The sequence below is a fragment of the Homo sapiens genome, chromosome 1 (assembly GCF_000001405.40).
Source record: "Homo sapiens chromosome 1, GRCh38.p14 Primary Assembly".
NCBI lineage: Eukaryota > Metazoa > Chordata > Mammalia > Primates > Hominidae > Homo > Homo sapiens.
The window spans coordinates 48397585-48423917 of record NC_000001.11 but is presented as its reverse complement, the minus strand read 5'-3'; the positions used below and the strand labels follow the sequence as shown (position 1 = coordinate 48423917).

At 36.1% G+C, this 26333-nt stretch overlaps 1 protein-coding gene across 21 annotated transcripts in view; it reads left to right on the top strand.

Annotated features, from left to right (window-relative positions):
• Positions 1-26333, top strand: part of SPATA6 (spermatogenesis associated 6) — a 210816-nt gene that overhangs the window by 48287 nt on the left and 136196 nt on the right. For 11 of the 21 annotated variants that reach the window (XM_047422913.1, XM_047422901.1, XM_006710699.4 and 8 more), the window contains 4 exons: positions 10767-10808; positions 12330-12454; positions 20036-20116; positions 24274-24567. In XM_047422913.1, the coding sequence (XP_047278869.1) occupies positions 10767-10808; positions 12330-12454; positions 20036-20116; positions 24274-24567 (542 nt within the window). Of the gene's footprint in view, positions 1-10766; positions 10809-12313; positions 12455-16124; positions 16232-16722; positions 16787-20035; positions 20117-21179; positions 21289-24273; positions 24568-26333 lie in introns of those variants that run through there. The other 10 variants (XM_047422902.1, XM_047422919.1, XM_017001510.2 and 7 more) reach the window with 6 other exon arrangements.

The window sequence follows — 26333 nt, the reverse complement described above, 5'->3', positions numbered from 1 at the left end:
AACATCTCATGTACCCCATAAATATATACATGTACTATGTATGTACCTACACAATTTTAAAAAATAATTAAAGCAGGATGCAGTGGCTCATGCCTGTAATCTCAGCACTTTGGAAGGCTGAGGCAGGCGGATCACCTGAGGTCAGGAGTTTGAGACCAGCCTGGGCACCATGGTGGAAACCCCATCTCTACTAAATACAAACATTAGCCGGGCATGGTGGCGGATGCCTATAATTCCAGCTACTCGGGAGGCTGAGACTGGAGAATCACTTGAATTCGGGAGGTGGAGTTTGCAGTGAGCCGAGATTGTGCCATTGCTCTCCAGCCTGTGTGACAAAAAAAAAAAAAAAAAAAGAAAGAAAGAAAGAAAATTAAACATTAAATAAAAGTTCTGTTTTGCCCCTACCAGTCAATACCTCTCCCCAGGATAGTCATTTTTCTGTTTTTTTTTTTTTTCTTTTTGAGATGGAGTTTCGCTTTTGTTGCCCAGGCTGGAGTGCAATGGTGCAATCTCTGCTCAAGGCAACCTCCACCTCCTGGGTTCCAGCAGTTCTCCTGCCTCAGCTTCCCGAGTAGCTGGGATTACCAGCATGCACCACCATGCCTGGCTAATTTTGTATTTTTAGTAGAGGTGGGGTTTCTCCATGTTGGTCAGGCTGGTCTTGAACTCCTGACCTCAAGTGGTCTGCCTGCCTCAGCCTCCCAAAGTGCTGGGATTACAGGTGTGAGCCACCATGCCCGGCCTACTTTTCTGACTTTTTATCAGCATTGATTAATTTTATTCTTGGACTTCATATAAATGAAATCATGTAATAGGTATTTATTTGAATATGTTATTTTAATTTTTTTAACTAAACCTAGTGTCTGTTAGAATTATCTATGTTGTTATGTCCCAGTAGTTCATTCTTTAATGCTGTTTAGTATTACATTGTATGAGTATACTACCATTCATTTTTCTATTGATGACAATTGTTTTAAATTTTGGATTATTATGAATAAAACTATTGTGAGCATTCTTATAAATATCTTTTGGTAAAGAGATATACTTAGTTCTTTTGGTATATTCTTATGGGTGAAATTTCTGAATCATAGGGTAGACGTATGCCTGTTTTTAGTTGACATTGCTGAATACTTCCCCAAAATTAACTGTACCATTCATGGTTAATTTTGAATATGTGGCATTGTATGTGAAAAATTGTAAAAATAATTGAAGGTGTAGTATCTTGTTCTCTTTCTCCAGATAGGCTTTATGTTTGCTTTTTATTTGTTTATAGTAGGTTGCTAGTAGTACTAGCAATCCTTGATGATATCAATCCAGTGTCAGGCATTGAGATTATTTGAAGATGGACTTCAGTCCTTGTAAAGACCAGGTTCTTTTGAGTTAATCCTTATTCCTATGATCCTGTCTTCTGGGGGCCCTATCCAAATTGAAGAGACTTTATAAAGGCTTCCTCTTCTTGGTAGACCCTGCACTCATATTCTGCTTCTAGTCTGTGAGACCATAAAAATCTCAGCTCAGCTTTTCCAGTCTTTCATTTCTCTTTTCCAGAATTAGCAGATGCTCTTAGGGAGAAAGCAGCTTCAATGTCTGGTTCATCTCCCTGGCTTTGCCTTCTCCCAGATCTTGGCTTTGTCATTCGTCACTGCCTTATTAGCATCTCTGTGAATACAGGCAGATTTTAAAAAATAATTTGTCCAGATTTTCTTAATCTTTTTAGAATGATTGGTCTGCTTTGTGTAAATTGTCATTATAGAAGCAGAAATCTGTTTCTCATTAATATATTTTCTTCTCTCACCCTTTCTATACTCTCCCATCCTCCTTTCCCCCCATTATGCCTGTTTCATTATTCCAAATCTGTATTGGACTGATAATGCATAGTTAAGCATTACAGCTTTCTATGATGTATATTCTTTCCATTTGATACACACATTCATATTCCTGCATATTTATTTTTCTAGATGAACTTTGAATCATTTTTGAAGGTCTAAGATAAATCTCTTTAATTTTATTTTGGGAGAATTGCCATTTTTACATTTCCATTCTTCCCATCCAGATATGTGATGAATATTGATTTATTTAAACTTGTTTTCTTCCAGCTTGTTACTACTAATGTTTTGGGGACTGTGTGTATGTGTATATTTGCTGTATATTTCTGACTATATTTGTTTTTAACTATTATATTTTTCTTGCTGCTTTTGAGAGTAAGATTCTTCACCCAATTTGTTTTCTTTTTTTCTCTTTTCTGTTTTTAAGGGAAGGTGGGGTTGATATATAGTAAAGTGACAAAAATATATTTATCTTATATTCAGTCATTCTACTGTACTTTCATATTATGTCTTAAGTCTTTTCAGTCTATTTCAAATATTTATTTACGATTGGCTTAATGATCTTAAAAATATTATTAGTTTGCAATATAACCATAAGATGTGGCTTATAATACTACTGGTTCTTGGAATTTATTGACTTTTTCCTTGAACATATAAGATAGAGATCAAATATAACATGGCTACTTAAAAGGATTTGTTCTTTTTGTGTTGGTTACATTGAAGCTTTCTTTTTTTTTCAAGTTTTATTTTATTTTTAATTGACATAATAATTGTGCATATATATAGGGCATCATATGAAATTTTAATACATTTATACATTGTGTAATGATCAAATTAGGATAATTGGCATATCTAGCACCTCAAACATTTATTGTTTCTTTTTGCTGAGACTATTCAGAGGCCTCTCTTCTAGCCATTTTGAAATATACCATACATTGTTGATAACTATGGTCACCCTACTGTGCAATAGATCACCAGCATTAGTCCATCCTATCTAACTGTAATCTTGTACTCATCAATCAGTATTTCCTCATCCTCTCTTCCTCTTAACCTACCCAAGCTCTGGTTATTACTATCCTGCTCTCTACTTCTGTTATATCATAGTTTTTTTTAGATTTCATCAATGAGTGAGATAATGCATCATTTTTTCTTTCTGTGTTGTGCTTATTTCACTTAACATAATGTCCTCTAGGTTTATGCATGTTATTGCAAATGATAAGATTTCATTCTTTTTCATGGCTCAATAGTATTCTGCTGTGAAACTTTCTTTCTACATCTTATTTTACCTTATTTATTTCATTATATCAAATGTCACATCAAAGCTAACATGTAGAAGATTCTTAATAAGCGTCTATTACTGGGTCAATGCTGCAACTTGCCTCCCTGGCTCTTATACTAGGTTAGTTTGTTGTTGCTTCAAGCCATGTTTTTCTCTATTCTCTTTTACCACAACAATCATCAACACAGAAGAAGACTTCTGTGACCAAAGTGGTAGGGGTTCTCCCCACCACCAAGCAAGCAATAAACTTCTTCAGCAGATACCAATTGAGTGTCCTCCAATTTAATTTTGACCCTTTCTACTTGGAGATAGTGTCAGATCCCACAGATTGAGGGGTTTAGTCCCTCATATCCTGCAGCCCCTAAAGACAGCAGGCCCAAGTCCAGGCTGGAACTTCCTCCTGACTGGCTTGAAGTTGGGGTTCCCGTGATCCTCTCTTTGACTAATTTGCTAGAGCAGCTTACGAAGCTCAGAGGAACACTTAAACCTATGTTTACCAGTTTATTATAAAGGCTAGTATAAAGAATATGGATGAAGAGATATATAGCATGACGTATAGTAGAAGGGGCACGGAGCTTCCATGCCCACCCTGGATGAGCCACCCTCCAGGAACCTCCACATGCTAGCTATTCAGAAACTGTCTTCTTGGGTTTTTACAGAGGCATCATTACATAGGCATGATTGTTTAAACCATTGGCCATTGGTGATCAACTTGACCCTCCACTCCTCTCTCCTCCTAGAGTTTGTGGGGGGTGCTGCAAGTCCCAACTCTAATCATACTCTTGTCTTTCCAGTGACCAGGCCCATCCTGAAGCTATCAGTCAGTATTGGCATACAAAAAGACAGTCCTTTGGAGGGGGATGAAGACCAAATATATATTTCATAGTATCAGATGGATAGATTCTCATGACCTTCAAATCAGTACCATCATAAATTGCTTCTCATTACTACCTTGGACTCCTTTTACTTCTTGGAAAACTTTCTCTTTAATTTCTATCATTGATATTGTAAACATATTCATTTTTCATATCAGGTGTCCCCTTGTTTAAACTCTAGTATTCTTAAGATGAAGAGATGATTACTTCCCATTTCACTGACCAAAATTGAGATAATAGTAGTGATGTGCCTAAGTTTATTGTGCTCTGTCCTAAAAGTAACCTACCCTTACCCATACTTATCTTTGCCCAGTCTTACAGGATGAGGTTTCTCTGTTCTGTTTAAAGTTATTCTGTTTACATGTCTTCTTTATTTATCTCCTCATGCCATCTCTAGGAGCTTGTTCATTAGATGTATCCCGTAAGCCCCATTTCCTTAGTGTCTTTCTCGTTGCTGCTTTCTTACCCTATATAAACATGTTGTGCATTTCCACCCTAAAAAGAAATATTTCCTGTCTTCATCCTTGTCTCCCTCTAGCAACTGTCTTATTTCTTTATTCTACTCCTCATTCAAATACCACGTATATTTTGTAAATCACTATTTTCTAGTTCTAGTCGAGTTGTTAGTGAAAAGAACACAGGTTTGAAGACAGTAATACCTGAGGTCAGGAACTGTTATCTTTGATAACATTAGCCTTTAGTCTCTGTTTTTTATCTGTAAAATAGAGGTAGTACTTACCTTGTTAGGGTTGTTTTGAGGATTTGTTTGAAGCTAATAGAAGCTTAGTCTTGACACACAGAAGATACTGTTTAAATGGTAGTAAATACCACTGTTTTGATTACTCATAAGTTTTTTGTTTTTAAAGTATTTTCTAGTTTGTAATCATGTTTTTCAAATAGTTGAGGTTGCAGAGTAATTGACCTCAGGAAAAATATAGTGTTAGTATATATGGAAAATTAAGAAACTGAGCGTATCCTAAGATTGTTTAACTCATTTGATTTCTTCTTCCCTTCCCTTTCCCTTTCCTCTTTCTCCTTCCCTTTCTTCTCTCTCCTTTTCCTTCCTCCCTCTCCTTCCCCTCCCCTCTCCTCTCCTCTCTCTCTCTTTCCCTCCCTCCCTCCTTCCCTCCTTCCCTCCTTCCTTCCTTCCCTTCTTCCTTCCTTCCCTTCTTCCTTCCTTCCCTCCTTCCTTCCTTCCTCTCTTGCTTTCTTGCTTTTTTCTGGGTCTTGTTTTGTTGCCCAGGCTGGAGTGCGGTGGCAGTCTCAGCTCACTGTGACCTCTGCCTCCCAGGCTCAAGTGATCTACCTCAGCCTCCCAAGTATCTGGGACCACAGGCACATGCCACCAGGCCCAGCTAATTTTTTTTTTTTTTTTTTTTTTTTTTTTTTTTTTGTAGGGATGGGTTCTTGCCATGTTGCCCAGGCTGGTCTCGAACTCCGGGGCTCAAGCAACCCTCCCAACTTGGCCTCCCAAAGTGCTGGGATTATAGGAGTGAGCTACCATGCCCAGAAATTCATTTGATTTCTAATGAAATTTTATTGTATGCTCAGATATTTTCTAGAAGACAGGATTTTGCTTTGTGCTTAATCATTATAATTATTGTAAGGTCAGTCAAGTTTCATAGAAGCCAAACTCATATTAGTACCACTTCAGCATTTTCCCTTTTTTGTTCTTCCATTTATTGATAATGAGATTAGAAGAAGCATGATGTATTCATAGGATATATTGTGTTATTTGAGGGTTGATAGAAAAGTCTTTTTAAGCAAAAGTTGCTTATCCAGTGATCTATGATAATAACTAAGATTAGTTTAAATGTTTTTAAATTACCTGTACAGACACAATTACTAAAAGACAATATAGAGAATTAAGAAATGCATAAAATACAGACCCTTTGTTTAAAAGAACATCCATTTTAGTAAAAGAAGAATCAGGTATGTAACTATATAATCAGAATCCTTCCATAGGTGTCCTGGCTTTGAGGAGGTCAGAGAACTATTGGATGAGTCATTCACATGGATGTTGATGTTGTTCAAAATCAAACAAAAAAAACCAAACAACAACAACAAAAAACAAAAATGTTTTTTTGTTTTGTTTTGTTTTTTTGTTTTTGAGATGGAGTCTCGCTCTGTCTGTTGCCCAGGCTGGAGTGCAGTGGTGAGATCTCGGGTCACTGCAACCTCCGTCTCCCAGGTTCAAGCGATTCTCCTGCTTCAGCCTCCCAAGTAGCTGGGTAGCTGGGATTACAGGCATGTGCCACCATGCCTGGCTAATTTTTTTGTATTTGTAGTAGAGACAGGGTTTCACCATATTGGCCAGGCTGGACTCGAACTCCTGACCTTGTGATCTGCCCACCTCAGCCTCCCAAAGTGCTGGGATTACAGGTATGAGCCACCTCATCCGGCCTCCCTGTTTTATAATTTTTAAAATAGTCTTGTGTTTGAATTGAGACTCAGATAAATTCCATACATTGTGATTTGTTGATGTCTCTCAAATATATATATTTCTCTATTAATTTTCAACTTCTTTAATTATACATGATAATGTAGATACTTTTCTGTGTCGCAGTCTAAGCATCTTTCATTCAGTATTGTTCTAGGTATTTCACATTTAAAAAACAGATTATAACATTGTTTCTAATTGTTGCTGTTACATAAAAATACATTTGACTTTGGCATATTATCTTTGTTTTAGCAACTTTGCTATATACGTTAATTTAAAAGAAATGTGTCTTTAGATTACTTTGAACATTTTGTGTTTGCATTGTCTTTAAATAATGAACATCATAGTTTCTCTTTTCTTGTTGTTAAATCTTTTAATTTATTTTTATTGCTTTATTGCAGTGGCTCAGAACTCCAGTAAAATGTTGAAGTAAATGATAGCCATGAATGAAGTGTATGTCTTACTCTTTATCTCAGAGGGAAAGTTTTAACTTTCACCACTTGGTATGATGTTTGCTATAGGTTTTTGGTAGAAAGCCTGTATCACATTAAAAAAGGTCCCTTCTAGTCTTAGTTTGCTGAGATTTTTTAAAAGCATAAATAGTGGTTAAATTTTATGAAACACCTTTTTTTCTCTTTTATTCTGTTCATTTGGTGAATTATGCTGCATTATTTTTTAATATTAAACCATATTTGTATATTAGTTGATTTGAGTTGATAATATTTTGTTTAGGATTTTTGCATCTCTGTTCCTGAAATAGATTGCCTGTCGTTTTTCTTTGCTTATAAGGTCCTTGTCAGGTTTTAGTATCAAGATTTTGCAGGGCTCATAAATAAGTTGAGAAGTATTCTTTCTTTTACTGTTTCCTAGGAGTATGCACATCACTGGCATTTTGAAAATAAATTCACCAGTGCAGTCATCTGGCTTACGTGTTTTATTTGTTGTAAGGTTTTAAATAAAATATTATTTATTTGTGTGTATTTGTGTGTACATATATACACATACATAAATATACACACACATGCACACATACATATGTGAGTATTCACTTTTTCCTATATGTTATGTAAATGTTTTCTTTTTGTAGGAATTTGATTTTTTCATACATCATTATTTTGAAGCAAATCTCATATATCCTTTTATCTATATATATATGGATATTTCACTCTACTCTCTTCTTGCTTGAATGGTTTCTGAGACAAGTCAGATGTATTTCTTATCTTTGCTTTTCTATAGGTTCAGTATTTTTTCCCTTTGGCTTCTTTCAGGATTTTTCATTTCTTTTCAAACTTTGTTTTGAGAGAGTCTCGCTGCTTCACCCAGGCTGGAGTGCAGGGGTATGATTTTGGTTCACTGCCACCTCTACCTCCCTGGCTCAAGTGATCTCCTACCTCAGCCTCCCGAGTAGCTGGGACTAGAGGTGCGTGCCACCATGCCCAGCTAATTTTTGTATTTTCTGTAGAGACAGGGTTTCGCCACGTTGCCCAGGCTGGTCTTGAACTCCTGAGCTCAAGCAATCCACGCTCCTCAGCCTTGAAAAGTGCTGGGATTATAGGTGTGAGCCACCGTGCCTGGCGCAAGAGTTTTCTTTTGTCTTTGATTTTCAGAAGTTTGAATATGACATGCCTAGGGATATTTTGGGGGGCATTTATTCTCCTTGCTCTTCTCTGACCTTCCTGTATTTTGGTTTGGCATCTGATATTAATTTAAGGAAATTTGTTTTCATTATTGCTTCAGGCACTTTTGTGTTTTTTTTTTTCTGTTTCTTCTCTTTCTGGTATTCTCATCACGTGTATTTATACCTTTTGTTGTCATCTCAGAGTTCTTGAATATTCTGTTGTGGTTTTTTTTTTCAGTCTTTTTTTCTGTTTGCTTTTCAGTTTTGGAAATTTTTGTTGTCATATCTTTAAGCTTTAAGATTCTTTCTTCAGCCATGTCCCATCTAATAGTGAGTTCATCAAAGGCATTCTTCATTTCCATTACAGTGTTTTCAATCTATACTATTTCTTTTTTATTTGTGAAAATTGTCAGAATCAAAATCAAGTTGTCTGTGTTAAAAACAAAAACAAAAACCAAAAACACCAAAAAACCCCTGACAAATATGGGGAAAGGCTATGAAGGGAGGATTCTCACACTTATATGCCTGATAACAAAACTATCATAAAAGACTCTACAAAAATCTAAGCCTTGCACAAAGGCCATCGCAACCTAACCCAAAAACTACTTGCGTGAGCACATCTGCCCAGCAACGTCCTGTCCAACCTTGGACTGTCATCACCCTTGTTATTGATACTTGTAGCCAAGACTAATCATTTCAAAACAATTATGTAATTTTCCTCACATTCCCTTTAAAACCATTTGTCTTCCTTTGCTTCCCTGAACGCACATATAGTTTACTATGGCACCTTTATTCCCATTTCAGTGCCCTATTCCTGAATAAATATTATTTTCTTTAAAGAATCTCTTGCTGTTTGTTATTTAGGTTGACAGTTTTTTTTTTTTAGAATTTCTGTCTCTTTCTGCTTATATTATCCAGCTGTTCTTACATGTTGTTTCCTTTTTCCATTAGATCCCATGGCATGTTATAGTTTTTCAAAATTCATGATTTAGTAATTCCAATATTCCTGCCATATCTGACTCTGGGTCTGATGCTTGTTCAGTCTCTTCAAACTGTTTTTTTGCTGTGTAGTATGCCTTATGTAAGTATTTGTACTTAGTATGTACTTATTTGCTGAAAGCTATACTGAGTGAATAGAACTGTGGTAAAGAGCTTTTAGTAATGTAAGGTGTGAGGAGAGGGAGGTGTTCTACAGTCCTATGATCAGGTTGCAGTCTTTTGGTGAGCCTATGCCCCTAAATTGTGACCTTCACCGGTGCTTCTGATTTTCCCCTCTTAGTTTGGACAGGATGGCTGGAGGGAGGTGCAGTGAGTTTTTCCCTTCCCCTGTGTGGAATGCTAGATATGGCTGTAGTTGGGTATTTCCCTTCTCTCACATAGAAGGCTAGAGGGAGCTGGAGTTGGGTTATTTTCTTCCTACAAGTCAAGTTCAGAGCTGGCTGGAGTTAAGTATTTTCTTTCTCTCAGATAGGTTAGGCTCTGATATGAGCCCAGTAGATGAGGCTGTAGAAAAAAGAATTTCTCCTGAGGTCAGGTTTTGTTAAGAATGGAATGCTCTGACGTACTTCAAAATGGTTTCTTTTCTCTTCTCCCTGCTGGTGGAAATATGAGGGGATTTTTCTCCAGTATTTATAGTGAGAACCTAGTAGAACTCCTGGAAGTAAAACTTAACAAAAACTTGAGAGCCCAATGATTGGATTTCTCTGGAGTTTTAATCTCTCACACTTGTCCGCACTGAGCTTCCAGCAATTCATCAGTTCAGGCGACCCACACAAAGTTTCACTAGTCATGCTGGAAGTGCTCTCAAGAAGCAGAGAAAACTCATGACATTACAAGAAAAAGTTGAATTGCTTGATATGTACCATACATAGAGGTCTACAGCTGTGGTTGCATTCCGTTTCAAACAGACAATTTATCTTGTAAGCAGACAATATAAACTTATGGTATAAATAAATACAGTACCATAAATGTGTTTTCTCATCCTTAGGATTTTCTTAATAACATTTTCTTTTCTCTAGCTTACTTTATTGTAAGAATACAGTATGTAATACATATAGCATAAAATATATGCTAATCAACTATGTTCCTAGTAATGCTTCTGGTCAACAATAGGCTATCAAGTTAAGATTCTGGGAAGTCAAAAATTATACATGGATTTTTGATGGCACAGGTGTTGGTGCCCCTAACGCTCAAGTTGTTCAAGAGTCAATGTATCTCACTGTACTCACCACTCTGCTTAAGAAATAGACATAACTTATATTTATAAAAGTATACATTAGGCTGGGCACGGTGGCTCACACCTGTAATCCCAGCACTTTGGAAGGCCGAGGTGGGTGGATCACAAGGTCAGGAGATCGAGACCATCCTGGCCAACATGGTGAAACCTCGTTTCTACTAAAATGCAAAAAAAAAAAAAAAAAAAAGTATCCGGGCGTGGTGGCGCATACCTGTAGTCCCAGCTACTCGGGAGGCTGAGGCAGGGGAATTGCTCGAATCCGGGAGGCGGAGGTTGCAGTGAGCCAAGATTGCGCCACTGCACTCCAGCCTGGCGACAGAGTGAGACCCTGTCTCAAAAAAAAAAAAAGAAGTGTACATTATATACTAATATATAAACATATATGTAGTCTACCTAGTGATTACTTTGGCTTTTAGACACTCCCATGGTAAATTAAGTAATTTTTTTGTTATTAATTTGTTTATTTAAGGAAATTTTTCTTTAAACTTTTAGATGATACAGCAGTGTTCGAGTTGATACAGCTAGTTCCACCAGGTAATATATATTGATGTAATATATACAATATAAGATATCATAAATTGATGTAATATATAATATATTATATATTGATTATACTATATTATTTGATAAGGATATAATATAGTGTATTATATACTGATAAAGTAAATTGACTTGGGAACTCATGTGAGTGACATTTTTTTTTACTTCAAAATCTCATCTTTTCAGGCCGGGCATAGTGGCTCATGCCTGCAATCCCAGCACTTTGGGAGGCTGAGGCAGGCGGATCACCTGAGGTCAGGAGTTCAAGACTAGCCTGACCAACATGGTGAAACCCCGTCTCTACTAAAAATAGAAAAATTATCCAGGTGTGGTGGTGGGCATCTGTAATCCCAACTACTCGGGAGGCTGAGACAGAAGAATCACTTGAACCCGGGAGGCAGAGGTTGCAGTGAGCCAAGATCATGCCATTGCACTCCAGCCTGGGTGACAGAGCGAGACTCCGTCTCAAAAAAAAAATCTCATCTATCCTCCTCTTCCCAAGTTGAGAACAGTGTCAGATTTCTATTGTTGATCTACTATGTGTAAAATGTCAGTAGACCAAAATAATATATACAGAAAGATTGTCATAAATGTCACTTTAATACATTGTTCTAAAATTGAATAGTAATAATTGAAAATGGAAACTAACTTATCATTCTAAAATATTTTGTGACAGTCATAAAAATTGACTTTTAAGTTTTTGTGATTTTTCTAAAACTATATATTTTTATTGATAAAGTAGTTAATTATCATTGTTTTTGTGTGTTGCATATTATTAGGGAAGGGAAGAGAATAAAACCTTACTTATGTAGTAAATGTTACAGTTCCCTGGAGAAGGCAGAGTTAAAATATAGAGGCTAGTTTCATTTCTGATATTGATTTCTGTGATTATAGATGACATCTATATTAATCAAATTTTTATTTTATGTGAAAAATAGAGTGCTGGCTGGGCGCGGTGGCTCATGCTTGTAATCCCAGCACTTTGTGGGGCCAAGGTGGGCAGATCATGAGGTCAGGAGATTGAGACCATCCTGGCCACCATGTTGAAACCCCATCTCTACTAAAAATATATAGCTAGGTGTGGTGGCGCATGCCTGTAGTCCCAGCTACTCAGGAGGCTGCAGGAGGAGAATCACTTGAACCCAGGGTGGGGTGGAGGTTGCAGTGAGCTGAGATGGCACCATTGCACTCCAGCCTGGGCAAAAAGAGTGAAACTCCATCTCAAAAAAAAAAAAGTCTGTCTCAAAAACAAACAAACAAAAACCAATGTGGAGATGGTAACTGACATATAAATGTTGGACCAACTTCATATTTTTGTAGTATGTTTCTGAAAAAGGAAAATGTGTTAATATTTTTAACATATCTTTATTTTAATTTTCCTTTCATAGAAAATAAACATGACCCAAAACAGGTATTTCAATAAGGCATCAGGCAGTAGATATATCATACTTGATGATTTTGTTTCTAAATAGAATATTTTATTATAATTTGAATCATAGGGTATCTTTCTTGTAGTGGGTGAAACACTGTCTACGTATGACGAAAATACACGAGATTTCATGTTTCCGGGTCCAAACCAAATGTCTGGACACCATGATTCAAACCGCCAGGTTACCATGAGGAGGATTTCTGGCCTTCGAGTAAGTGCTTGCAATTTTCTGAATCAGTTTTTGATGGAAAATCATTGTCAGAAACCACCGCATAGTGCTCGCCATCTTAAATGTGAAGAACAAATTCAAAGTGTAATTTAGTTTACTTAATTGTTTTGTAGTTTAAATCTTAATTGTTTTAGATTTCAATATGTTACTTAAACATATAAAGATATTTATTTACAGCAATGTAAAAACAGACTAATACAGTAAATTGGTTACTTAAACATATTGAAATCTAAATGAAAATAATTTAATAAAAAGTGCCATTAAAAATTTTTTAAATTGTAATTGACATTCTTCAAATCTCTGTCATCCCCTTCTCTCCCCATCCCATCTCTGTCTCTCTGTCTCTTTCTTCTCTTTATTTTTCTCTCTAAGGGATGATAATAAACATTTGAAAAAATACTCTAACTCATTAGTATTCAGAGAAATCCAAGTTAAAACAACCATATGATTTCATTTATATAGCTATAAGATTGGGAAAATTTAATAAATCTGATAAAAGTGAAAAACTTAGAATCTTTCATATGCTGCTATACCATGTGATATGGTTAGGCTCTGTGTCCCCACCCAAATCTCATCTTGAATTGTAATCCCTGTAATCCTTGTGTGTCAGGGGTGGGACCTGGTGGGAGGTGATTGGATCATGAGGGTGGTTTCCCCCGTGCTGTTCTCATGATAGCAAGTGAGTTCTCACGAAATCTGATGGTTTTATAAGTGTTTGACATTTCCTGCTGCACACACATTTTCTCTCTCGCCTGCTGCCATGTAAGATGATTTGCCTCTTCCCCTTCCACTGTGATTGTAAGTTTCCTGAGGCCTTCCCAGCCATGTAAAACTGTGAGTCAGTTAAACCTCTTTCCTGATAAATTACCCAGTCTCAGATATTTCTTGCTAGCAATATGACAATGGATTAATACAGTACATTGGTACCGAGGTAGTGTGGCATTGCTATAAGATACCCGAGAATGTGGAAGTGAATTTGGAACTGGGTAATGGGCAGATGGAGGAACAGTTTGGAGGGCTCAGAAAGCAGGAAGATGTGGGAAAGTTTGGAACTTCCTAGAGACTTGTTGAATGGCTTTGACTATAATGCTGTTAGTGATATAGACAATGAAGTCCAGACGGAGGTTGTTTCAGATGAAGATGAGAAATTTGTTGGGAACTGGAATAAGGGTGACTCTTGCTATGCTTTAGCAAAGAGAGTGGCAGCATTTTGCCCCTGTGCTAGAGATCTGTGGAACTTTGAACTTGAGAGAGATGATTTAGGGTATCTGGTGGAAGAAATTTCTAAGCAGCAAAGCATTCAAGAGGTGACTTGGGTGCTGTTAAAGGCATTCAATTTCAAAAGGGAAATGGAACATAAAAGTTTGGAAAATTTGCAGCCTGACAATGGGATAGAAAAGAAAATTCAATTTTCTGAGTAGAAATTCAAGCCAGCTGTAGAAATTTGCATAAGTAACAAGGAGCTGAATGTTAATCACCAAGACAGTGGGGCAGATGTCTCCAGGGCATGTCAGAGACCTTTGTAGCAGCCCTTCCCATCACAGGCCTTGAGGCCTAAGAGGAAAAGGTGGTTTTGTGGGCTAGGCCCAGGGTCCCTGTGCTGTGTGCAGCCTAGGGACTTGGTGCTGTGTCTCAGCCACTCCAGCCATGGCTGAAAGGGGCTAACATAGAGCTTGGGTCGTGGCTTCAGAGGGTGCAGGCCTCAAGCCTTGGCAGCTTCCATGTGGTGTTGAGCCTGCAAGTGCACAGAAATCAAGAATTGAGGTTTGGGAACTTCTGCCTAGATTTCAGAAGATGTGTGGAAACGCCTGGATGCCCAGGCAGAAGTTTGCTGCAGGGGCGAGGTGCTCATGGAGAACCTCTGCTAGGGCAGCCTAGAAGGGAAATGTGGGGTCAGAGCCTCCACACAGAGTCCCTACTGGGGCACTGCCTAGTGGAGCTGTGAGAAGAGGGCCACCATTCTCCAGATCCCAGAATGGTAGATCTACTGACAGCTTGCACCATGTGCCTGGAAAAAACTGCAGACACTCAGTGCCAACCAGTGAAGGCAGCCATTAGGGAGGCTATACCCTGCAAAGCCACAGGGGCGGAGCTGCCCAAGACCATGGGAACGTACCTCTTGTATCAGTGTGACCTGGATGTGAGATATGGAGTCAAAGGAGATCATTTTGGAGCTTTAAGATTTGATTGCCCTGCTGGATTTTGGACTTGCATGGGGCCTGTAGCCCCTTTGTTTTGGTCAATTTCTCCCATTTGGAGTTGTTGTATTTACTCAATGCCTATACCCCCGTTGTATCTAGGAAGTACTAACTTGTTTTTGATTTTACAGGCTCAAAAGTGGAAGGCACTTGCCTTGTCTTGATGAAACTTTGGACTGTGGACTTTTGAGTTAATGCTGAAATGAGTTAAGACTTTGGGGGACTGTTGGGAAGGCATGATTGGTTTTGAAATGTGAAGATAAGAGATTTGGGAGGGTCCAGGGACTGAATGATGTGGTGTGGTTCTGGGTCCCTACCCAGATCTCATCTTGCAGCTCCCATAATTCTCATGTGCTATGGGAGGGACCTGGTGGGAGATGATTGAATCATGGGGATGGGTCTTTCTCACGCTGTTCTCATGATAGTGAATGGGTCTCATGAGATCTGATGGTTTAAAAAATGGGAATTTCTTTGCACAAGCTCTCTCTTTGTCTGCCACCATCCATGTAAGATGTGACTTGCTCCTCCCTGCATTCCACCATGTGGAAGTGTAAGTCCAGTAAACCTCTTTCTTTTGTAAATTGCCCATTCTCAGGTATGTCTTTATCAGTACCATTAAAAATGAACTAATACAATATCTATCTTAAAGATGTATTCTCTCTGGTACACTAAGAGCCTTCTTAAGAATGTTTACCTGTTGGTTCATAATAGTGAAAAATTGAAATAATTGATATGTCTGTTAGTAGGAGTTTAGATAGATTAATTGTAAAATATGTATATAATGGAAATATATATTCATACACCTAAAATTAAAAGCTGCATCAAGTGACAGCTTACTCTCTATCCTTTACTATAACTTCCTTCAAGTTCTGTGGATGATTTGAAAATATTTTATTGCTGAAAGTAAGTCTTCCATGCAGAGAAACTGAGAGAAGCCCATGCCATTTCAAAAGAGGAAAAGCAAAAATTGTCCAGCTTGAAATTATTTGGATAGACCTTTAAAACTAATTGTATAAAATATTAGAGTAGTCCGAATAAGGAGAGTGTTGATATATGAACAAATATAGTTAACTAAGTAATTTCTCCTATAGATTTATGATATGCCCTATTCCAAGAAAAAGCAGCTTCATCTTTATGAAAGTATAAAAGTTGACTAAGTAGCAAGTCTATAAAACTATACTTTCTTTGGGGATATTTCAGTGTCCATTAGCATGCTTCTGTACTATGAAAGTCTTCAAAGAGTATTTCAAGATCTGTGTGGAAACATACAATGAACAAATAATCACATTTTAAAATTATGGTCTCTTTAATGTAATTTAAAATTCTGTATTATACCAATGTGGTAATATAAACTCAAGAGTATGGAACATTAAGAGGGATTTACTTTTCATCATTTAATTTGAGTTACTTTTGCATTTATTTGGAAGATGATGGATTATTAAAACAAAAATATATAAAAATTAGGACTTCTACGAATGGCAGTTTGAAGAGATTGAGAGTTCTTATAAAACTAGACAAAATTTTCACAAACAATGAATTCAGGATACTGGAAACTGACAAGGTAAGACGAAGAAGTTTTCATGCTTGAAAAACTGCTAAAGCTTTGGGAAAAACTGGCGAGACTATTAACATTCTTGCCTGGGATGCTCTTATATTCTGTTTGGTAAGTGAGAACTAAAGTTTATCTATTCTGGAGCTAGTGCAAAAATCAACAGCTTTGCTACCAGAGGGAACAGAATCAGTTTTGGGCAGTGGCACAAATAGCACAGCTTTGCCAGCTAACTGTGGTGGATTCAGTTGGAGCAGATGAAGAAACCCCACAGCTTTGCTAGGCAGAGCTCTAACTGGGGCAAGGATTACCTGCCAGAAAGTTGACAGGAAGGTCCTGGGAGTAAGGTAACAATAAAGGGCTGAGATAAACTCTCCACCTATTCTTGGCTGACTGTGAAACTGCATATCAAGGGGAGACAGTGAGAGCCCAGCCAAAAGTGAAAGCCAAGGGAGACTGGAGTCCTGGCTGCAATTTTGAATGATTTCCTAATCTATACACAGGTCATCAGCAGAGGGTAGGACTCCTATGGGTTCACTGGATGACCACTTACCTATGCATATGCAGGTGAGACTCCTAGAAAGAATCAAAGAATAGAAATACATAGAACATATATAAACTGAACACCAAATTGGCAGTTCTAAATCTAGCCATATCTATCATTATATTTAAATACGAATAGGAAAAATGCTTCAATCAGTAGTTTGTTGCCCTGGCAGAAAACAGCGCACTCCTTCTGGGAATTCTTGTGATTCTGCATAATCATCTGTAAGTCCCAGGCTATGCTCCTGAAGCCTTTACTATGGCAAGGATTCAGACAACATTTGGGATTAAATTCTGGCACTTTCATGGATGAACTGAGTAACCTTTGGCAAAGCACCATAACATGGCGATATCATAGGGTTTTTGGGTAGATTAATGTAAACTTGTAAATGGTTATAGCAGTGTCTGGCAAGTAAACACTCAATAAATGTTAGTGATATGATGATAGCTGTGAATATCATGATGGTGATGATGGAGTAGAGATGATGATAATATCTCCTGTTCTAGATTGTGAACTCCATAAAAACAGAATCTTTGACTTTCTCATCTTTGAATTTAACTCTTAACACAGTACCTTGCCTGGAGTAGGTACTTAATAAATGTCTCTTAATTAAATTGAATGAATGAATTGCATCTTGTAGACTTCATAGATGAACTGACATTTAAAATGGTGTGATGATTAATCTTATGTTTCAATTTGGCTAGATTATGGTGCTAAGTTATTTGATCAAACACAAGTCTAGATGTTATTCTAAAAAGTATTTGATAGTTGTGATTAATATTTACAATCACTTGACTTTAAATAAAGGAGATAACTTTGAGATTACTTTGGCAATTTGAGTGGGCCTGATCTAATAAATTGAAGACCTGAAGAGGAAAATCTGAGGTTTACTGATGAACAAGGGATTCTTTTGTTTTGTTTTGTTTTTGAGACAGGGTCTTTCTTTGTCACCCAGGCTGGAGTGCAGTTGCGAGATCATGGCTTACTGCAGCCTTGACCTCCCACGCTCAAACAGGAATGTCTATAGTGATTGTCCTGTCCCTGCTGCACATGTGCACCTTGGGCATGTGTGAGGCAGATAACTTTTCTCTTTAGGTCATATGTCTTCTGATTGTGAGAAACTGCATTTTAGGAGCTGTACATAAGGAACTACACCTCAGCAGCCCTATCTATACCAGGATTTTATTTAGATGCCAACATCCTGGATTTCAAGCTGAAGTTGTACAAGGATGAGACTTTAATTCTTTTCTTTTTTTTGGTAGAGCATGAATGTATTTTGCATGTGAGAGGAATGTAAGTAATTTGTGGTCAGAGAGCAGACTGGTGGTTTTAAACCTGTGCACAAAATTTTTGCTACTCCTTCATTGAAAAGGTAGCCTAACTACTCTGTCATTGAGTTTGGATTATACTTAGTGAGTCTGATGAATAGAATGTGGTAGGGATGACAGTGTCAGATTCTGAGACTACATCATTGTGGCTTCCTTCTTGCTTTGCTCTTGGATCATCCCCTTTGATTAACTAGAACCACATCATGAGAACACTCAGTAGCCTTTTGGAGAGGTTTATGAGTTGCTGAATGTTCTTGCCAAAAGCTAGAAAGGAACTGAGGCTTCCAGCCAACAGCCCTGGGAATGAACCTTCTTGAGAAGCAGATTCTCAAACTCCAGTCAAGTTTTCAGTTGACTGCAGCCTAAATGACATCTTGACCACAATTTCACGAGAAATTTCAACACAGAAACACATAGCTCAACCTCTCTCAGATTTCTGACCCATAGAAATTACGTGAGATAATAAATGTGTACTGATGCTTTAAACCGCTAAGTTTCAAGGTAATTTGTTTTGTAGTACTAGGTAATTAACAAGTAGATATAGTGGATATCACAGATATCACTATGAAGATACGTTTGCAGAAGAACACACATTGAAAATGTAGCCTAACTACTCTTCTTGAGTGTAGACTGTAGTGATGCTAATGAATAGAATGTGGTAAGATTGACAGTGTTATATTTTCGAGAGTACATCAGTTCAGTCAATTGTTAGGCAACTCCGATTTACCTTTTCTTTAATGTGTATGATGTTTTTAAACTTAGCTGGTCACAGACTTGATTTGTTGAGGCCAAATGTAGGTATTGAATCACAATTGCTTGTGCACCAACCTAATACTTTGGTCAATGTCTGATTTTTACTGTTTTAGAATGAAACTGCCCTGGGCATAGACTGTATTCTTTAATGTTTTGGTGAATGCGTAATTGTGTGCTTCCAAATATTTTCACAGATACTTTGTGACTGTCCTTTTGAATTTTACCATTTATCTCTATTATTTCAAACAGTGTTCAAGGTGGTGATTGAAATGTTAGAAATATAAGCCACATTCATTTCTAGATATGAATGTAAGATACATTATAGGAAAAAATGTTGGCAGAATTAGTAGAGACTTATCTTTTCTGTTTTCAAGAACTACATGCCGAGGAACTGGGTTTTTTGTTTTGTTTTTTTTAAATTTTAATGGACAGGCCAGACCCAGTGGCTCATGCCTGTAATTCCAGTGCTTTGGGAGGCTGAGGCAGGAGGATTGCTTGAGGCCAGGAGTTTGACACCAGCCTGCATGACATAGTGAGATCCTGTATCTACAAAATAATGAAAAAATTAGCTGAATGTGGTGGTGTATCCTGTAGTCCTAGCTACTTGGAAGGCTGAGGGGAAAGGATCACTTAAGTCCAAGAGTTAGAGTCTGCAGTGAGCTGTGATGGCACCACTATACTCCAGAGACCTTGTCTCTAAGAAAAAAAATTAATTGAGTAATACTAATTGTATATATTTATGATATACAACATGATGTTTGATATATGTATACGTTGTGGAATGGCTAAATCAAACTAACATTTGTTTCTTGACTATATGGTTAAATATGTCGTAAGTTGTAAAAGTAAAAAGCTGAAATTTATTAAGTATGTTTATATATTTATGGCTATAATATATCATAATTTAAAAATTTAAAACAATTTGACAGGGAAATACTTAAAAATGAAAAAATAGACTAATTATTTTATAAAAGTAATATAATCACTCATGATGGAATCATCAGCAGAGACATTGTTACTTGCTAACATTTAGCCATACTATGTTGTCTTTATCTTTAATGAAAAGTTCAAACTAACAGTGAAACAGCTGAACTTTGACAGGTGTTTGTTACTTTAGGTCATATTCTTATCATTAATAATTATCTCTATTTAAATGGAAATGTGTAATAATACCCTCTTTTTTCTTCTCAGGGAAATGCTCCAAGGCTGGAATTTTCTACGACTTCAGTGATTACTGAATGTCTGATAAGTTCAAGGAAATGCCACACTCAGGTTAAAATTATTTGTATAAAGTATTTAATGGTTTAATTTATTTGGTCATATTTGTGGCCTTTTGGCAAGCGTTATTTATTTTGGCTGCAGCTCTTTTCACTTTTTGGGGGGTCAATTTTTAGTTGAAGTGAAACAATATAGGTATTTAGCAGTTTGGTTACATGTTAGTAAATGTGAGAATGAAGAGCTTGGTGTGTATGATAGAGGATGTCATCTTGTGATTATTATTACTACTATTTTTTTACTTCTTGGACTTTTTGATTTTAGCGCACAGAAATCAAGCTGCCATAAAGATGTTAGGATCAAGTAGTCTCACAGAGATCTAGGCTTCTTTAAATGTTATGGAAGTTACAGAATACTGCAAAAAGTTCAAAGGATACCTTTTAAGCAGATGTTACCAGAGTTATCAGACTGGGATACTGGTGTTTAGTGAGTATGGTTTCTTGACTGTCTCTGATTTCTTGAGGGACTGTTGCTCAGTTTGGTGGCCATACTGGTACTGCCAGATCAAGAGAATCTTGGACATTCCAGCCTAAGGATCATCTATGTTTTTGAAAACAGCTTTTAGTAAGCTGAGATATCTGGATCTAATACTCCATTTGTCTGACTTCTTGTTTTTCCTTTTTTTAAATATATTTTTGAGACAGGGCCTCACTCTGTTGCCCAGGGTAGAGTGCAGTGGCATGCAGCTTTGACCTCTTGGGCTCAAGCAATCCTTCTGCATCAGTCCCCTTAGTAGTTGAGACTACAGGTACATGCCACAATACGCGGCTAACTTTTGTATTTTTTTGAGATAGAATTTGCCATGTTGCCCAGGCTGGTCTCGAACTCTGGAGCTCAAGCAATCTGCCCACCTCAGCCTCCCAAAATTCTGGGATTACAGGTGTGCACTTATCTGCCTGGCCTAGTCTGACTTATTACTGAGTCACCAGGGTGGCTTACTTCTTTGTCCACAGGTTATCTAATAATGTCCAGATATCATTCATGTGCAGTTGCATTGTGATAGGGTAACAGTGACCTATCTGTGATGAAGAGCCAATAATATGTAAAGCCCAGAGGGCTCAAAGGGCAGGACTGGGCTTATCGTGGAAGGAGTGGATTGTTCATTTACTGCATTATCAGTATTCAAGTAAATTTGCTGAAGATGATAACTGTGACTTAAGCCAAGAAAGGTAAAATATAGAATTATTGAGGGGAACATTCTTATTTTATTTAGAAAGATATTTAATAATTCAGAGTCAGGCTGTAGTTATTTATCTTTTAGATGCAAGCTGAAACACAGCTTTTAGAGCTCTAAAAACCTATGCTTGCCAAATGCAGAGCTATGTTATTGACTTGTTTTAGAGATGTGCACTGTGCACATTGTAAATGGTTAGATATGCTTTGCCTGGACTCAGACAGTTTTTTTTTCTTCACGCTGGAGTATGTTCTTCCAATAGATGGATAGAGAAGTCTTTTTTTTCTTTTTAACTTTTTGTCTGAAATATAGCATACACATAGAAAAGTACATACATTCTCAGGGTACAGCTTGGTGAAAGCCATTTCTAAATGTAAAACCATTACCCATTCATAGTTTAATTGTACTTATGAACTAACATTTCCCTCTGTAAACTTTTAACAAGAGTCTTCCATTTTATTTTTATTTTTATTTTTACTTTTTGACTTGGGATCTTTATTGAACAGAGATATGAGAGAAAAGGCATTGGTGTCAGTATTTAAGGAAATACATTTTCTTTAAATATTCTTTCTAGAAACAGACAGATCTGGGTTCGAGTTCCTCATAAGGCTGCTGTAAAGATTAGGGAATATATGCAATATGCCTAGCATGTAACATTATTAAAATGTTTTTACCTATTGCAAAGTGGAATTCATTATTAAATAGTTAAATATCAGTAGTAACTTTATGAATATAAATTTGTTAATCTGCTGTATCACATAGCTTTGGTTGTATTACAGACCTCATTAACTTAGTGACTTAAAACAGCAAGTGTTTCTCACAGTTCTGTGGATCTGCTGGTTGATTTCTTTAGTCTAGAATGGTTGGCTAGGGATGAATGGTTTAGGATGGCTTTACTCACATGTTGAACAGTGGCAGATGTTTTGCCCAGGGAAGGATCTTAAATTTCTAGTGATGAGCTTCATTTCAGCTGGGATGAGATAGTCCCATCATCTATCAGGCTAAGAATTCCAGCTCATTCATGTGATGGCAGGAAGGTTTTAGGAATAAGAGAGGATAAGCACTTTTGAAGTGTCTCTCCTTGTGCTGCATGTGCTATTTTCCTGTTGTCCAAAGCAAGTCACATGGTCAGTCCATTTTATAAATGGTATAACACAGTCACTTTTTAAAAGTTTTACTAGGCATGAACAGGATCCATTAAGGAATAAGTAGGGTTAGACAGCATGCATTTGTAGTAGATAGTATGTAATTTATAACTTTCTCTAGTAGTATGCAGTATTAAAAGCTTTAATAAAGATGAGGTTAATTAAGGTTTGATATAATCAGAGGTATATATATAAGAAAGAACTTTACAGCATTGCTGAAATGGATGATTATGAGTTTAGTTGGGTCTGGAGGTAAGAGATATTAAAAATGTGTAAAGAACTTGGGGGAAGAGTTCTAGGGACTGAGGAGATGAGAAGGGCAAGTAACAGATTCAGTGAGTCAAGAAGTAGGTTGAGGAAAAGAGGTTTTGGTCAGCAAGGGATTTTCAGAATTGGAATGCAAGGGATCTGCATATTTATTAAATCCAAGATGGAGTAGAATTAGATAATTAAAACTGAAAGACAGAAACTCATGATTCCAAGGTCTTAGAAAGATTCATTGCTTGAATGTTTTAGTAAACTCAAAGATCATTTCTAGTGCTGACATTCTTTGCTTCTGTAAGTCTGTGATGTCACAGAGATGGGTGAAATGGATATGGTAGAAAAATTCTGAATTACTTTTTGAAATCATTGAACAAGGTGGAGAAGGTCCAGAAGCATACCATGAACTACAGAAGAAGGAAAGATGGAGTAATCTGATGCAACTGGTCTGTATGAAATGCATAGACCATTGCCCTAGCTGAAACTCACTTTTCCAATTAGGAAAATTAATTTTCTTTTCTGTGTATCCACTTAAAAAATTTGACTCTTCTTCATCCTATTCACATTTGTATTTTATTCACTTAGTTACCCTTAGCAAGTCAAGAGAGGTGTTGAGGAAATAGAGCTGGAGGTAGGATTGGTGGCTTTTAAAAGTGATTAAAGTTAGGAAGACATTTAAAAATTCTCCGCAGTCCATTTTCTTGAATTGAAAAGCTTCTTATAACTCTGGATAAAGTAGGAAGAAATATTATATTACTTGCTTGTAATCCAACTATTAAGGCCTTTATAAGGCAGAGATTATTTGAATAAGATGTTATTCTAATAATAAAAAAGTTAGAATTATTAAATTTTAGCCTCAAAACTTTTAGACTGCTAACCAGTTTTATTAGATAAAATGTTACTAAGTTTATAATGCTTTTTATATTCCTAATTTTATAAAAATATGGGACCAGAATTAAGATGGTATGTTTATCTGTCATTGTGAAGTTACAGCTCGGAAGGGAGCTTAAAAGTGTGTATTACAATCCAAATAACACATTTCATTAAAATATGTATAGAGTTCTTTATATTTTTGTGTTGTACAGATATATATATAATTATAGCAGAAGGGATGAAACTTATTTTTATAGTTTTATCTTTAAAGATTTTGTAATCAACTAATCTGGCATGTATTTTTAACATTACTAAACATAGTTCTCTTATATAGCCAATTACACGAATATTTAAATATATATGTAACCAATGTTTGCACTTTTTTAGTATACTGAAAAATAATTTTTTTGACTTTGTTTCTTTAATTTTTCAAGTGATTAAGTATCGGGCTTTAATTTTTATAAAGTCCTTGTTGGACTTAAGGAAGTTTGAGACAGTGTACTTTAATAACTACTGCAGAAAGAGTTATCTAGGAGAATGTGGATTTGACTTATCCCAGGATCAGCACAGATAGGAAGGACTGATCTAGTTGGCTTTGATAGATTTTGCGTCTTATTTAAATTACTTTTTAATTTTTTCCCCACCAACAGGAATTTTAAAAATCCCCTTTGACCAAGTTAATTTTTATTTTTTATGTTTAGGATAAATTTATTTACCATTTGGCTCCAGTTGAAAAATCACATGGCAGACTGCAAAACAGAACATCAAGATCACAAAAGAAAAAATCCAAGTCACCTGAGAGAAGTAAATACTGTATAAATGCAAAAAACTACGAACAGCCTACAATTTCTTCAAAATCACACTCTCCATCTCCCTACACAAAAAGACGCATGTGTGAGCTATCTGAAGACACCAGGCGGCGGCTGGCCCATTTAAATCTGGGACCCTATGAGTTCAAAAAAGAAACAGATAAACCTCCATTTGTGATTAGACATGTATGTGTTCTCTTAAGCATTTCTATTTGAAACTGATCAGCTTTTTTCCCAAAAAAACTGTTATTCTGAAATATCTTTCAACTTCTAGCTTATATTAATAATACTTTTCTCTTCTGACTGCTACCCTAGCAGTCTAAGATGGGAAATTAATTTAGAATGAAAGAACTTGCTTTTTTTCAGTCTTCAGACCTGACAGAGATCAAGCTGTGTTATGAATGCCATGTTAAATCCTCTCAGTACCGGTTTCCTTTCTTATACAATAGATAGCATAATAACGCTACCAATTGAACTTGGTTGTAATTGACATTAGTACTAAAATGGCAGAGTAGGGCTTTAAAAGAGAACCAAATATTCTTTATGAAAAGGAAGACCCTCCTTTTTTAAATTATAAAAATTAAAATGGAAAGTAAGTTTCCTTTTAAATTACATCCCTTGGGTAAACTTTGTATGATGGATCTTCAAAGCAAATTATTGTTTGATGGTTATGGGAAGGCCTTTGAAAATGAAAAAAGTTCATTTAAGGGTAACCTAGTTCTAGTCTCTGTACTGAACTGTGCTTTTGATATAGTTGAAATTTAGAGTCTTGTGTTTATATGATTATCAAGTAGACTTTGGCTAAATTTAAGGGTTTATAATCAGAATGTTTAGGAAAGGACTCCCTCAGAATCTTCATAGTTTCCTGAATTTCTATGAAGTATTTTTACCTTAAAAGCAATTCTTTACTGAAAGCTTTCAGACTAATAAAAATATGGATTAATGTTATATGTACATATATAATAATACTAAACCTCAAGATTTAAGTGCTGATAGAAGCAAAATAACTTTTTGGGATATCTATAAAAATATTTCTGACTAATGTCTTTAATTCATTTTTTCTAAATTGTAAAATGAATTCATCCAACATGTAAATATGCCCCTTTGGTGGTCTAATAACTTTTTGAACATACACAATCTGAAAGTTCAGATTTTCTTTATGATACCTTTTTAAAACAATTTAAATATTGTCTTAAGCAACATTTCATTCCACCTGTATTTTGACTATGAGTCGTTTTTTTTAACTCTTAAGTAACAGATTGTTTTATCATAAAAGAAAATTTATAGTATAATGGATACTTTTAAGTGGCAACATTTTATTGAAGTTATTGTGACTACTTTTCTCATTTCTACAGAATTTGATTTTAACTTTTGGTCACTTTTTTGTTGTTGTTTGACCAATATTCAGATAATATTTTAGTTGCATATTTGGTGACAGTTTTAGAATGCCTTTAATTTTAAGTCTTCCCACAATTACAAATTAAATTGAAAAGAAAGGATATACTATATTTTCATCTGAAGGAATAGTAACATTTTAATTAAAATGCTATGTACAAAAATAAACTGAAATATTTTAGGGGTAAGCCACATTAAAATTCTTTGGAAAAATAACTGCTTTTCTTTAAATGTTTGTTTTATTATTACTTTTTATGTCAGTGTTTAGAATGGAATAATTCTAATATTGCTTGATACAAACTTTGAAGTTTGTATTTAAATGGTTTCCCTCCCTAGCTTTTCAATAAACAGAAATGCCTACTCCTAAGTCTATACTTAGATTGCTTACATTATTAAATAGGAAAGTGGATTTTCCGATTGTGTTTGTAAACATAGAGATTTTTTTTCCTCCATAGCCATTCATGGTTTTAGAAGCACTTAGCAAATAGGTAACCAAACACAGTTTTAACTTAATACATGCATATGCAAAATGTAACACTTTTAGGAAAGACATTGTA